The following is a 16,407-nucleotide window of genomic DNA, read 5'->3' on the forward strand; positions in this document are numbered from 1 at the left end:
TAAGAGAATATGAAATTATATATTTTTAGGCTATTTCTTACTATTAAGCCTATAATACAGATATTACTCCTGGCCATTTTGATATCTCTGTCAATTTATAATTTTTTTAGTTTTATAGAATGCCAATACTCCCCCCAAATGACTTTTACCACATTTTTAAAAGCGTGTGAACAGTATTCTTTAGTATCTAATTAAATAAAGTTTTGTAGTAAGTCAATAGATTCTACAGAAGGTATTAAAGATTTATGCATTATGCTCACAATGTAGAATTATCATCTTTGTTAAATGTTTTAAAAGAAAAATAGCATGTTAGTCATATGATGGTAGATGATGGAGTATAACTAAATAACTAATTAAACAACTCAGCAACTAGCTCACAAGTTAAAAATACAAGTATAAATAAGGAAACTTTTGACAGATTTATTGTTACAGATAAATATTTAAAATAAATTAACAGACTTTTGGTCAATTAAAATCGTAAAACTTTTCATGGTGTTTTTCTGAAACAGAGAGTTGCCCTATGACAATGTAATTCAGAATGCTAGAGGTAAAATTTTGCTTTCCTAGTATTGGGCAAACAAACAAACAAAAGAAACACTTTAAATTACTCTGTGAAAATACTTTCTATATGAAAAATATTTTTGAAGAATAGAGCTCTTGTCAAAATTAGATTTTGGGCTTTTGTCTGTAGAGAATCTAGATATAGCATTATAAAAACGGTAAAATCAATGTTAACTGTTATTTAAATCTGCACTTTTCAATACAGTAGCCACATGTGGCTATAAAACATTGAAACATGGCTAGTACCATTTAAGATGTGCTATAAATATAAAATACATATTGAATGTTGAAAAGTTAGTATTAAAAAAGGAATGCCAAGTATCTCACTAAAATTTTTTATTATTTACTTTCGGTTGAAATGGAAATAATTTTGATATAAAGAGTTAAATGAAACGTACGATTTCAATTAATTTCATTTATTTCCATAGCTTTTTGTAGTGGCTACTAGAAAAGTTAAAACACAAACAGAGATCTCTTTTAATTTCTACTGAACAGAGGTGAGAGTTGAGTTAGATAATGCCAGCCCAGTTTCTCCATTTGTGGATAGAGTTAAGAAGTCTATATACTTATAAGCACAATGTGATGAGTAGGAGCCCTGAGATTACAGAACGCATCTTAGTTTAATACATCTCAACATCCTGTACAGATCTAGCACCCTATGTTTAATTAATGTTGATTAAATAAACAGAAAAAACAAACATGATATGACCAATAATTTAAAGGTTGAAGTTAGTAGCCAAAACAAAATTCAAAATGATCCTTCATCACTTTGGTACATTTGGACAGCAAATTTTTTTTACAAACATAACAATGAAACATGATAACCAGAAGAAAAATAAATGCATGCTCCATGTATGTGCATTTAGTTTACAACAGTTTAAATGTATAAGAAGTTCTACTCAGTACTGTGCTTTGGTTGAACAGGGCCAATTGGTTTTCCATGCTAGGTATTAATAACTAGCTTAAAAGCACAAGAATGAGAGCCACCTTTTCAACATTGTGCTTTATTCTTGACACATATACTAGTCTCCACTCAGAATAATCTTTAAGGGTACTCCAGTTTTGCTGGATTTTAGCAGATTTTTTTTTCACATACCATGCTCCCTACATTGTTAACTTCCTCCATGAGTGTGGTAACATTTACAGTTTTCATTGGTTGCGTTTGGCTTATTTTTTCTTTTTTTTTTTTTTTGTAAACATTAAAAGAGGACTTACATAAAAATTGAATATAATGATTATATTTTGTTTTATGAATGTGCTATTTAAAATGAAAGCAATTCCACAATAGTCAAGACAACATCAGCTGTGGTGAATGGGAGAAAATCATCCCACTCAGTAGCATAAATGGCATATGCATAAAATCTTCGGGACATGCCCATTCGTTATGTTCTGAAATTTCTCATATTATGGGGTATAAATTATTTATGTAAAGACAAATGCATAAGCACACTGCTGATTTTTATTTTGATGCCTCAATAATATTTTGAAACAAATTTAGTGAGTCAAAAATTCAGTCAAATTTTTCCTATTAAATTCATATATTTCTTAAAAGCTAATAACTATTGGTATTTTCAATAACTTGATAATTAGTAGAAAATTGTCAATTTCAGGGTATCATTATCATTAAAGTATCAGGTACTATAGCAGTGAATTCCAGATATGATGAACTATATACAAAAAGAAAACATAAAAGGATGAAGAAAATATAATTTAAAAAATTAAAATTTAAAGATGTAAATGATGAAGAGAACAAAAGTGCATAGCAACTAAAAATAACCCAGAGTTTGAGAATTTTTATTCATCAGTATCTTACTTGATTCAAAAGCATTTTCCTCAATTTAGACATTCTTGCTGCAAAGCAGTTTCTCATTCAACATTGAATAATTGATTCCAGTAATTTAAAATAACTGTTCCTTAAATTTGCACTGGTCAATACAGTGGCCAGAATAGTATTAAATAATATTAAATATTGTATTTAATATTATTAAATATTAAATATTAATAACTATTAAATATTTTAATATTAATTATAAAAATAGAAATTATATTCCACTAGAAAACTGAAATATAATTAATATTAATATTTAATATTTTAATATTAAATATTAAGTAATTATTAAATATTAAATAATATTAAATAATAGTAAATACTAGTATTAAATAGTATTAAATAGTATTAAAGTAAAATACTATTTTTAAAAGCACATTTTCAGCCAATTTTGATGGAAAAGGAAAGTATTATTAAAATGTGTTTACCAAAAGGAGTAAAGGTTTACATTATTTATTAAATTAGAATCTTATCATTTTTTAACTTCTCACTACAAAGTAGACATTACTCTTCCTACTAAACTTGGATAAAACAGTAGTTTGAAAATATGCATGTGACAGGAAAGACAGATGATAAAAACACAGGTCTACAATATTGAACTCTGCAGCCAGTGAGAAAAAAATAAAGACAAAGCTGTCAAGTTTGATAGTTGTAAATGCATAAACTATATAGTAGTTCACTTTTTCAGATCAACAGCCAGATATTTTAAATTTTTCTTATCAGTAACAGATGTACTAAAGTAAGATGGATAGCATAATTGTGAACATGAATTTTCAAGTTAGAGAGATTAAACAATATCTCTGATGCTTATTAAATCTCTAGACATCTAGTATATTAGTTTTCTCTTACTGCCTAAAAGATTACTACAAGTTTCGTGTCTTAAAACAACATAAATGTATTGTCTCACAGTTTCAATAAGTCAGTGTACAAGAGTCAGTCACCTAAATCCTTTGCTTTCGGTCTCACCATGCTGAAATCAAGGTATTGACTGGGATGTGATCTCACCTAGGAAATGGAGTTCTCTTCCAAGTTCAATGATTGTAGCAGAATTCATTTCATTCTGCCTCTAGGACTCAGATCTCATTTTCTTGCTAGCTACCAGGTAAAGACTACTCTCAGCGTTTAGAAGGTATTTGCAGGTCCTTGACACATGGCCTCCTCCTCTCACAGCATGCCAGTTTGTTTTTTTAAGGACAACAGGAGAATCTCTGCTGTTACCTCTTGTTTTGTTAAAGGCCCATTTAATTAGGGCAGCCCATGTAGGACAACCACATGTTTGATTAAATAAAAGTCACTTATTGGGGGTGTTAATAACACTGTAAAATCTCTTTCTACATATAATATAATCATGGAAGAAGTATCATATTTACAGGTTTCACTCACACCCAAGGGGAGATTTTACAGGGCATATACACCAGGAGATGGGAATCTCGAGGATCATCTTAAAATTTTGCCTTTAATATCTACTAATCTACTTAATCTTTCCAAGTAACCTACTCAAGTTCTCCAAGCCTCAGGTGCCTTCATATGTAAAGTACTAACAATTTATACTTCATAAATATACTTAAGCCTTGAAGGTAGTAATAACTATAATATTCTTAGCCTAGCGACAAATAATTATCATTAATTAGTAGTAGCCATTACCTCTAGGCAAAACAGTCTAGATCTAACAACGTCAAAGAATAATTGACAGAAGTACCACGATTGGCTCAAACCTATTCATCAATACATTACTTATTTTTATAAACATTTAAGCCATGTAATAAGAGATAACCAGACTAGGAAAAACAAAGAAGGAGGAAGAGCAAGAGAATCCAGCAATATGTAATTTATGAACACAGACTTACATGAAGTGGATTAATATAAGAAAATATAAATGAGGAAAATGTATTCAAGATGAAATAGAAAATCACACTAAACCAGTAGACATTTAAAAATATACCAAAGGAGGGAGATTTGCTAACATAGACTCAAACAAAATTACTCCCAAGTCTTTATTTATTCTCTTATGCCACATAGGTGAAGAGAATAGAAAAACAGGAAAAACTACTCAAATTATTTTTTGAGACTATCAAAACCTAGCTACCAAATTCTAGCAAGCATATAACAACAAATAGAAATTTAGCCAATGTTTTTAGGATCAAAAAGTCAATTTTTTTCAAAAAAACATAAATTTAGATAGTCGAAAACAGTAATGTATTTAAAATACATTATATAGTTTGAGCTGGAAATATGCCAGAAATGGAAATATGCCTCAACACAAGAAAATCTTTTAGAGAAAGAAAAATGGTTTTATCATTTCAGAGCAGAAAAATATTTTATAAAATTCAATACACATTCTAAAAATTTCTTTTAGCAAATGAAAACAAAATGGGAATGTACTTACATTAACAACAACTACCTACAAAATGATTTAAAAAAACCCTGCCAAACATCAGTTTATCAAAAACAAATGTAGAAACTGAATAAAAAATATATACACATATACATATACATATATATATATATATATATATATATATATATATATTGTTGAATTGTTACAAGAACAACTGAAGTTGACTAGATCTTCTAAAGCTAAAGAGATAAGAAGCAAGCAAAGTTAAGACTACAGAGGGCTCTGCTTTTCAAACCAGGACATCTGCCCATTTGCTTCCAGATAAGTAGTTGCATCTAGATAAGCAGAAAGTAGTAGCTGGAGTTTGCAGCAGCTTCTTTGAATGAAAAGAAAACACTAGCATTCAGCTTGGTCAAGGAGATTAGGTCCGTGAAGAGAAGAACAGAGAAGTGAGCCCACAATTTGATCAGCCCTATTCTATAGAGGCACTTGTTCCCTTTCAACCTTGTATTTATAGTATGAAATTACACAGAAGTAAAGCATTAGCAGTCTAGTAGTGCAAGGAAGATAAAAGTTGGAGTTTAGGGCCAGCAATATCTTACAGTCTTGTTAAACACTTCTAGCTTTCAATGAACACAACAGAGGGGCATATCTTGAAGAAAAACCAGCAAAAAAACAAAAACAAAAACAGCTTTAACGGCATGAAAACCATACTTGCCTAAAATGTGATCATGCATTCCTATTCTGTCTGCCAGAAAAATAAAAATAAAAAATCCTCTTTGGAAGATGTTAACATTAGATGGAGCTTTTCAAAGTTTGAAACAAATGTCTGCCATTCAATAAAAAAGTTTCTTAAATGCTGATTACCAAATGTCAAGAGACAAACTGACAGTAGAAATATACTATTGAGATACTGTGATTATTGGATAGAGATTTAAAAATACTTATGATGAATACATATAAAAATATAGAAGACAAATAGGGAATTCCACTAGAAAACTGAAATCTATAAAAGAGACAAAGAAAAACTCTGAGTTTGAAAATTATAACCTGAAATTTAATGACTTAATATATTATTTTAATAATAGACTTATTAGACAGAATTAATAAACTTGCTAGTAAAAGATATACAGATTGAAATATTTATATAAAGGATATAACAGTCATAAAAGAAAACGAAATATGGGAACTAATGAAAATAGCCATTATTTGTTTAATTGGAATATCAAAAACGAAGGTAGAGAAATTGGGCAAGAACAATATTTGAAAAATTGCTGCCTGAGAATTTTCAAAAGATGGCAAAAAGAGAGTGACCACAGATTTAGAAAGTTCTTGAGACCTATGCTGGATACATAAAAATAAAACTTTATCTAGATTAAAACTTCTGAAAATGAAAGACAAGGAGTAAATCATACAGGCAGCCAATGAACAAAGACATATTATCTTCAAAGGGACACAAAGATCACAACTTACTCCCCAGTATCAGAAGCAAGAACCCAGTGAGCCAACATCATAATGGAGTGAAAGAAAATAACTGCCAATTTAAACTTCTATACCCAGTAAAAATACACTTCAATTATGAAAGCAGAACAAACTCACTTTTTACAAAAACAAAACCTGAGAACTTACTGCAATGTTTAAGATTGTGGGAATTTGTTGACAGATGACCTGGATTTAAATTCAGGCTCTAAGAATTATGACTTATATAATTTTAAGCATGTTACTTAATTTCAAGGCACATCAGAAATAATGCTACCTGCCCAACGAGGGTATAAGAAGTACAGCACTGAGTATAGGACGTAGTGTAATATCTAACATAGTAAGACAACCATAAATTTTAACTAAAATGTTCTCATATACTGTGACTTGTCCAGGTAAGCTAAACTACTTCTCAGTCTCTGTGATGTTTGTTTCCTTTACTTTCTTCCACTTGGAATGACTTTGTCTACTTCCACCAATCCCTGACCATACTTTCCAAGTTTTATCCACCTGCAAATGTCAAAACAAGTGCCACATAGTACCTGAAGCTTTGATAATTTCCTTCAGCATACCTTCTCTTACTTACTGTTTTAGATTTTATGATACATTTAAAGCATGTTAGTTACTTATGTACATATAAGCTGTATTCTGCTTAGTGCTTATTGTATTTAAAAATATCTTAATTATATTATTGCGTATTTCTCTAGTTTCTAAAGTATAAATTCCAAGAGGGCAGAAACTTTCTTTACTTTGTTCAACAATTATCATCAATAATAACATCTGGAATAGTGTCTAATGTTTGACTGAATAGGTGCTAGAGATTGGAACATCTATAATGATATTCATTGGTACTAATATAGTCATGGAGGATATTTTATTTATCATTTCTAGATATTTAATAATCTTATTTTCCTAACAAGAAAAAGACTTTTTTAAAAGAATTCATTTAAATAATTATTTCATTACAATCAACCAAAAGCAGTTCTATAAATGAAGGATTAAAATCCCCATTGAAAGAAAACTTGGATTGCTTCCATTTTGAAAAGTTTTTATACATTAGAATTATTGTATTTTATTCAGTCTTAGCCACAATTTTTTACTAACATGTGTGCTTTGTGAAACTTTCTATTAGATTACTGAAAATGTAGATATATACTGAAAAAAATAGAAATTTCAAATTATAGTCTCTTTCTGATCATTATTTATGTAACTCTTGAAAGAAGGACAAATATTTTTCTTTGCTTTAATAAAAAAACTTTTGAAGTAAAATTTGTAATGAATTTAATCCTTGTAAAAATAAAGGGCTCTCCCTATTGACTTATTATCTCTTTTATTTAAATGTTATTTTAAGTTTTCACTTTAATTCATAAATACTTATAGAGTTGGCTATAGACACAAAGGTTTCCAAATACTGAATGCTGATACTCAGGATTATACATAAAAACACTAATCTTTATTTATAAAAACAAACAGAACTATCTTAATATGATTTCTTTCAGCAAGAGAAAATGATTTATCTTGGTGCTTTAAATCTAAAGTAAAATAATATGTATTATTCTGACAGAAAGTAAATGGAATATTTAGAAACAATTTCTATAAAAAGTTACAAACACTGAATTTGATTGAACATATTTTGAAATAAGGCAAAGAAAATACACTTTACAATGAGTGATACTTTCAAGGCAAAACTTGTAGAAAAACACAATTTCTTTTACTTGGGAAAATGTAATACAAATACATGAAGAATATGAAAAGTCACATGGTAGAGGAAGATAATATAGAGTATAAATCAAGCTATACTGGATTTTGAAAACATTTTCTAAAGAAAACATAAACCTCTAAGAAACTTAGTCATTGTTCCCATGTGATTATACTTTTCATTAGTAACAAAAAAAAAAGCAAATGGTCATTTTAGTGCCTAATATTCCAAATGAGAAAACAAACATTAAGTATAAATTTCCACTGGTTTTATTTCCTATATCTAGTAAATCTACTATCAAAATAACTTCAGCTGTTTGTCTACTATGCTATTTTCAATTTATAGTTTTTATTAGTAATCTTTACTTATAATTTAGTTCTCTTACGGCATGCCCTACCTTCATAAACCATTTGTGATCCTTTTTAAGGGTTCCTTTACCTTTAATGTCGGTTTAAAAAAAAAAAGAATTTAAAACTAGAATAAAGAAGTTTAGACTAACTGTAATAAACCATGGGAAAAAATAACTCATCTGTCATTGATGTGTACTGCTCAAACATATTTATTATGTTTTGAATATTATCTTCCTTATTGACTCAATTTGACAATTAGAGATATAGTCTAATACCCAAAGCTTTTTCCCTAGTACACAAATAATAAGAATATAGAAAATATAATCTTGTATGAGATGATCACATAAAGATGACAGTATATAAATGTAATTCTGCAACATATAGTTTTGGGGAGCATTACATGTTTTGGTCTGAGAGCCAAATGACAATAATAATGCAAGTACACCATGGACTAAAAATCACTTGTAAGTTTTGAACCACAAGTACAAAACTCATTTCCAGTATTATGACCTCAAAGAAAATTAGCAACTGAGGCAGAGCAAGATGGTGGAATAGAAAGCTTCGTCAATTTTTCCCCCACCCCTGGCAAGGGCACCAAATTAACAACTATATACACTGAAAACACCTTCATAAGAACCAAAAATCAGTACATACAAAAATCAGTAGTATTTCTATATGCCAAAAGTGAACAAACTGAAAAACAAATCAAAAACATAGGCTAGGCATGGTGGCTCACACCTGTAATCCCAGAACTTTGGAAGGCTGAGGCAGGTAGATCACCTGAGATCAGGAGTTCAAGACTAGCCTGGCCAATATGGTGAAACCATTTCTCTACCAAAAATACAATACAAAACAAAAAATTAGCCGGGCATGGTGGCAGGCACCTGTAGTCCCAGCTACTCAGGATGCTGAGGCAGGAGAAACACTTGAACCTGGGAGGCGGAGGCAGCAGTGAGCAGTAATTGTGTCACTGCACTCCAGTCCAGCCTAGGTGACAGAGTGAGACTCTGTCTCAAAAAACAAACAACCAACAAAAAAAAAATCTTAATTCCATTTACAATAGCCAAAAATGAAATTAAATACCTAGGAATTAACCAGAGAAAGGAAAGATCACAATAATGAAAATATACGACACTGATGAAGGAAATTGAAGAGGACATCAAAAAAATGAAAAAAAAATTCCATATTCATGGATTAGAAGAATCGATATTGTTAAAACATCCATACTATTGGGAGAGGACATAGTTAGAGGCTGGCTACACACACAGAGAGGGAGAGTCTTGGGAGAGAGGCAGTGCGCATGGAAACACACTGGCACCACCCTTGTGGTGTAGTTAGCAGGAAAAAATATGGTTAAGAACTTCCTCTTATACCAGGATGTTTGCTCAGAAGGGATTTATTGTGCAAGCACAATAAATCAACTAAATGTCCTGAATATGACCCAGAGCTAATTGTAATATCATCGGCATTGCAGTTTTGGCTCCCTATCCCATGGGTTTTGCTTAGGCATTCTTGGGTAATAACTACGATGGAGTCACTATGGTCTACTCCAGATATGCATAGATGCAACGTCCCCGGGGGAGCGGGGGAACTTTACTCCTCCTATTAAGGCAGAACCTACGAAAGGCTTTCTTATTTTTCCCCACAGAAAAAATATCCCCAGCACTCAGAACCATTTCTGGCAACTCGCTTTGGGTCCCCTCTCACTGCTAATAATTTTTCTATTGCTTTACAAATTCTGCTCTGCCTTACTCACTCTCTGGTGTCCACATGCCTTATTCTTCTTTGTCCTCTGACAAGAACTCAGACCTCACTAAATTAAGGAATAGAGAAACTGCAATACTATGCAAAGCAGTCTACACATTCAGTGTAATCTCTATCAAAATATCAATGACATCCTTCACAGAAATAGAAAAAAAAAATTCCAAAATGTATATGAAACCACAAAAGACCCAGGATAGCCAAAGCTATCCTAAGCAAAAAGAATGAAATGGAAATAATTACATTACTTGACTTCAAATTATACTACAGTGCTATAGTAACCAAACAGCATGTTGCTGGCATAAAAACAGATACAGACCAATGGAACAGATTAGAGAACCCAAAAACAAATCCACACACCTACAGTGAACTCATTTTTGGTAAAGGTGTCAAGAACATGCACTGGAGAAAAGACAGTTTGTTCAATAAATGGTGCTGGGAAAGCTGGATATCCATAGACAAAAGAATGAAACTGGATGCCTATCTCTCATCATGTACAAAAGTCAAATCAAAATGGATTAGATAATTAAATCTAAGACCTCAGACTATGTAACTACCACAGAAAACTGGGGAAAATCTCCAGGACATTGGTCAAATATTTCTTGAGCAATAACCACAAGCACAGGCAACCAAAGCAAAAATGGACAAATGACATCACATCAAGTTAAAAAGCTCCTGCACAGCAAGGGAAACAATCAACAAAGTAAAGAGACAATCCACAGAATGAGAGGAAAATTTTTGTAAATTACCAATCTGACAAGGGACTAATAACCAGAATATATAAGGATCTCAAACAATTTTATAGGAAAAAAACTCTAATAATCTGATCAATAAATGGGCAAAAAATTTCAACAGACATTTATCAAAAGAAGACACACAAATGGCAAACAGGCATATGAAAAGGTGCTTAACATCACTGATTATCAGAGAAATGCACATCAAACAATGAGAAATCATCTGACCCCAGTTAATATATCCAAAAGACGCAACAACAAATGCCGGTGAAGATGTGGAGAAAAGGGAATCCACTTATACTGTTGATGTGAATGTAAATCAGTACAGTCACTATGGAAAACAATTTGAGGTTCCTCAAAAAACTAAAAATAGAGCTATCAAATGATCCAGCAATCCCACTGCTGGGTATACACCCCCCAAATGAAAATCAGTATATCAAAGAGATATCTTCACTTCCATGTTTGTTGCAGCATTGTTCACAATAGCCAAGACTTGCAAGCAACCTAAGTGTCCATCAAAAGATAAATGGATTAAAAAAATGCAGTACACATGCACAATGGCGTACTATTGAGCCATTGAGAAGAATGAGATCCTGTCATTTGCAACAACATGGATGGAACTGGAGATTATTATGAAGTGAAATAAGCCAGGCACAGAAAGACAAATCAAATATTGCATGTTCTCACTTAGTTGTGAGACCTATAAATCAAAGCAATTGAATTCATGGACACAGAGAGTAGAAGGATGGTTACCAGAGGCTGGGAAGGGTAGTGGATGGTTTGGGAGATGTGGGAATGGTTAATGGATAAAAAAAAAAAATTAGGGAGAACGAATAAGATCTACTATTTGATGGCACAACAGGGTGCCTATAGTCAATAACAACTTAATTGTACATTTTGAAATAACTAAAATAGTGTAATTTGATTGTAATTTGTTGTGTAATTTGTAACACAACAGATGAATGCTTGAAGGGATGAAGACCTCATTCTCCATGATTTGATTATTTCACATTGCATGCCTGTATCAAAACATCTCATGCATACCATAAATATATACACCTATTATGTACCCGCAAATATAAAAATAAAAATAAATGCAACCTCCTTCATCAAAAAAAATTAGTGCCTGTAAAAGTGGAAAAATCGTCTAGGCTTTTTCACAGCAAAACAGAGACAAATACCAAACAAATAATATGGTATTTGCTTATTGTTTTTAAATATTTTCAATACCTACTTAAATAGTTCATTTAATCACCTGGTAAAATAAAATAAAATGACCAATATGAGATAATATAAAGAAACGTTCAACTGTATTTTAGCCTATTTGACAGTTTTATGTTCTGTAAAACTTCTAATATTTTACATTTATTAGGATTTTTTTCTGTAAAATGGTTTTAAGTTTGAACTGAAAGCATTTTTATGTAATTCTGTATATATATCACACATAAAATATATTTGTATAATTATACATACACAATGTATTACATATAATTATAAATATACCTAGTATATATAATAACATACGTATATACCATATGTTGTGTGTATATGTATATAACATCAAATTTTGGCTGGGTGCGGTGGCTCAGGCCTCTAATCCTAGTTGTTCGGGAGGCTGAGACATGAGAGTCGCCTGAGTCCGGGAGGCAGCGGTTGCAGTGAGCGAAAATCGCGCCACTGCACTCCAGCCTGGGTGACAGAGTGAGACTCCATCTCAAAAACTAAACAAAACAAAACAAACAAATTTAATGTCATCTGAATCTAAACCTCACTTTCACAGAGATTAAGAAACAATCTTCAGGCCGGGCGCGGTGGCTCACGCCTGTAATCCCAGCACTTTGGGAGGCCGAGGCGGGTGGATCACGAGGTCAGGAGATCGAGACCACGGTGAAACCCCGTCTCTACTAAAAATACAAAAAATTAGCCGGGCGCAGTGGCGGGCGCCTGTAGTCCCAGCTACTCGGGAGGCTGAGGCAGGAGGATGGTGTGAACCCGGAAGGCGGAGCTTGCAGTGAGCGGAGATCGCGCCACAGCACTCCAGCCTGGGCGACAAAACGAGACTCCGTCTCAAAAAAAAAAAAAAAAAAAAAAAAAAAAAGAAACAATCTTCAGCAAATATACATACTGTAATCAAACTGTGGTGTTTCTTTACATTTTATATTTCATAAACATAATAATTTCTTGGCAATTGGTAAGAGGAATTCTGGAAACATTACAGTTAGACACACAATCATTGGAGTGTAAATAATATAAACTGGCTTCATATCCCAGGACCTTAACAATTATTGAATGACTTGTATATCTGTAGGTTATAGTTCCTTGATAAGAGGACTATTTTGTCTTATGGTTAGCCATTATGATTTTGTTGCTGGCTGATAGACTACCTGCTTTGCATTAGAAACCAGTAGGGGTAAGATGGGGGATATAAATACTCAGTCGTAGTTGTGGTAACCATGTAAGCGGCAGGTGAGAAGGGAGTAGAACAATGTAAGAATACTTAGAAAAAATGTGAGCTACAATTTCGAATATCCCTGTCATCATCAGCATGTTGGAATTCCATAATTCCTCAATAATAATTCCAAGAAGCAAATTTGCTGTAAAACTCATTAATTTATGAAAACAAGCCCTCCAATCTGTGTTTTGCATTGTAGAATGTGTTATTATTGACATAATCATTACTCCTCTCCTCAGAGTAATCAGGGATATCAGAAGCATAAGTGTTTTTTTCTTTTCCTTCATTATTCTTTATTTTTTGAATTCAGGAATGAAGGTTCTGTTGTCATTCTATCCACAGATACCATAAATATTTTCTACACACATTAAACCACTCATGATATTGACTTAATGTGAATGGAGACATGGGTAAAATGCCCTAGGCAGATGTCAGGGTATTTGATTCTGGTCCCAGATGCTATGACATGTAGGCTATTGAACATCTTATCCAATTGGTCATAACTGGTCTTAATTTTAAATCAACAAATTTGAACTCAGTGATTTTTTTTACTCTTTCAATTCTAAAATGATTATATTTTTATTGCCTTATTTATAGTTTCTAAAAGCACCAGATATTAACAAGAACTGTCTCTCTATTGTGCCAAGTATTCTGACCAGATGTCTAAGGTGTTCCTAGTGATTGGTTAATCCCTGAGTAACAAAACTATGTTGTAAAGTTTCAGCTGCAAACACAGTTAAGTAGTTCACGACTCAGGATTTTTTTTTTTTTTTTTTTTTTTTAAGAAGAACCACTGTTAAAGTTTGTCTTTGTTGCCAATCACTTACCACAGTGCATGGGCAAATGTGTGTTTAAAAACTTGCAGAGAGAAATTTGTATTACTGAGTCACAATGATTGATGTTTTACTTACCAAGCACATAAGTGATATTAGTCTTAATGCCTTTCAATTGAATAAAATCAATGGTAATTTTCAGGTATAGAAAAAAAGTGGAGTCTCTAAGGCTAAGTTTGACTTGTGATTTGAAGTTTACAAATAGTTTTCCAGATATTTTCTTAATCCTGTTAACAAATATTTATAATGAGAGGAAATTACTAATACCTTCTCATTATAAATATTAATATGAACAATAAAAGTAATCTTTGATTATGTAGAATATGTAAATAGTTACTTTATAGTCATATGTCATATAATCATTTTCTTGTAAAATAAGGGATAATTTTAAGCAACTGTCTTCAAATGTTAAGACAAAAATGATTTTGAAAGGATTTTTCCTTTTACCTTTTTAAATTGCTGTCAATAATTTTTTAACAATGTAGAACCTAGGTCACTGAATACAGTGTTTTGTATAACTTTGTTTTTTCCAATATATATTCCAAATTATTTATAGGTTTTCCTTTTCATTTTCTACTTTTAGAAGAGCCAATTGTGATTCAACTTATATCTACAATTCTGAGTCTGTTCCCAAAATCTTTGATGTCACAAAATAAATCCGTGCCATCTTACATTTGGCATTTCTATATTTTTCCTTCTTTTTAACTTTTATATTAAGTTCAGGGGTATATGTGCAGGTTTGTTCCATAGATAAACTTGTATTATGGTGGTTTCTTGTACAGAATATTCCATCATCAGGTATTAAGCCTAGTACCCATTAGTTATTTTTCCTGATCCTCTCCCTACTCCCTACTGCCACCCACCACCCTCTGATGGTCCCCAATGTGTGTTGTTCCCCTCTATGTGTCCATGTGGTCTCATCATTTAGCTCCCATTGACACATGAGAACATACAGTATTTGGTTTTCTGTTCCTGGGTTAGTTTGCTAAAGATAATGGCCTCCAGCTCCATCCATATCCCTGCAAAGACATGATTTATTTCTTCATTATGACTGCATAAACCATAGTGTATGTGTACCACATTTTCTTTATCCAGTCTATCACTGATGGTCATTTAGGTTGATTCCTTGTCTTTGCTATTGTGAATAGTACCAGAGTGAATATATGTGTGCATGTGCCTTTATAATAGAACAATTGATATTTATTTGGGTATATACCTAGGAATGGGATTGCAGGGTTGAATAGTGGTTCTGTCATTACATCATTGAGGAATCATCACACTGTCTTCCACAGTGGTTGAACTAATTGACTTTGATTATGGAATGTAGCCCTTTAAAGACGTGTTTCCCAAAGGAACATTTTGGTCAGTGGTGTTGTATGTATCTGTTGTTGTAAACTATTAATTATTCAAATAAATTTTAATATAAGTAAATGAAATCCTATTATGATCATCTAACTGTAGTGAACAGGAATGAAGTGATCAGTTATCCTTTCCAATATATCATATATATATATATATACACACACAATTTATATACACATAAATTGTATATTTGTATATACATGCATATCTGTGTGTGTATAATTCCTCTTCCTCTTTAAAATACTCAACAGCTACACTGTTCACCTCTCAGTCATTTATAAGCTAGGAATAATGTTTTTCAAAAAATGCATGCTTCATCAGTACAATGGAATAAGTCCAGAGGGAATTTATAAGGCATTTTCATGTATTCTATTCATTTTATTACATCATTAATCCTCTCCCAACTCACAATCCTACCAATACACCTTTATAATGCTCAGTGCACTTGAGTTGCAATTCAGCTTCTGTTTTGAGCCCTTATGCTATTAGGCAATTTACTTAGCCTATCTTTTTATTTATAAAACTAGAAAAATAATAGGAAATTTGGGGGAGATAATTTCTGAAGCGGTTTTTCTATACTCATATACTAAAAATTCATAATTTATCTATCATCATAATTATTTTATTGATCCATTAGTATTTTAAAATTCTCAATCCAGAGTTTTCATTCTTCAACTCTAGTGAAGTCACCAAAAACATAATCATAACTTCCTCACGTTTCCCCTAAGAAATTTTCTATCTCCAAAACCTCAAATTATGATATTCTGTTCTTTGTCACTACTTCTTCAGCTTTATCACTCCTAACCCTGCACTTCTATTCTAGTTGCTATTCTTCTCAGTATTTCTCGGTTAGCACACTTGCTTTCTAGCCATTAGTTCTTTCTCTTCACTTTTCAGCATAAACACCATCATAAGGGGGTTTCCAAAAACTACACCACTAGTAGTAAATGAGATGGTCTGATAAACAGAGGTTTATTTTATTTTAAACTTTATTTATCTAGTTGTGTTAA

General features: G+C 31.9%; 1 protein-coding gene across 2 annotated transcripts in view; it reads right to left on the bottom strand.

Moving 5' to 3' along the window:
- EYS (eyes shut homolog) overlaps positions 1-16,407 on the bottom strand; it is a 1,987,247-nt gene that overhangs the window by 1,225,936 nt on the left and 744,904 nt on the right. The window lies entirely within an intron of this gene.

The sequence above is a fragment of the Homo sapiens genome, chromosome 6 (genome assembly GCF_000001405.40).
Source record: "Homo sapiens chromosome 6, GRCh38.p14 Primary Assembly".
In the NCBI taxonomy this organism is placed as follows: domain Eukaryota; kingdom Metazoa; phylum Chordata; class Mammalia; order Primates; family Hominidae; genus Homo; species Homo sapiens.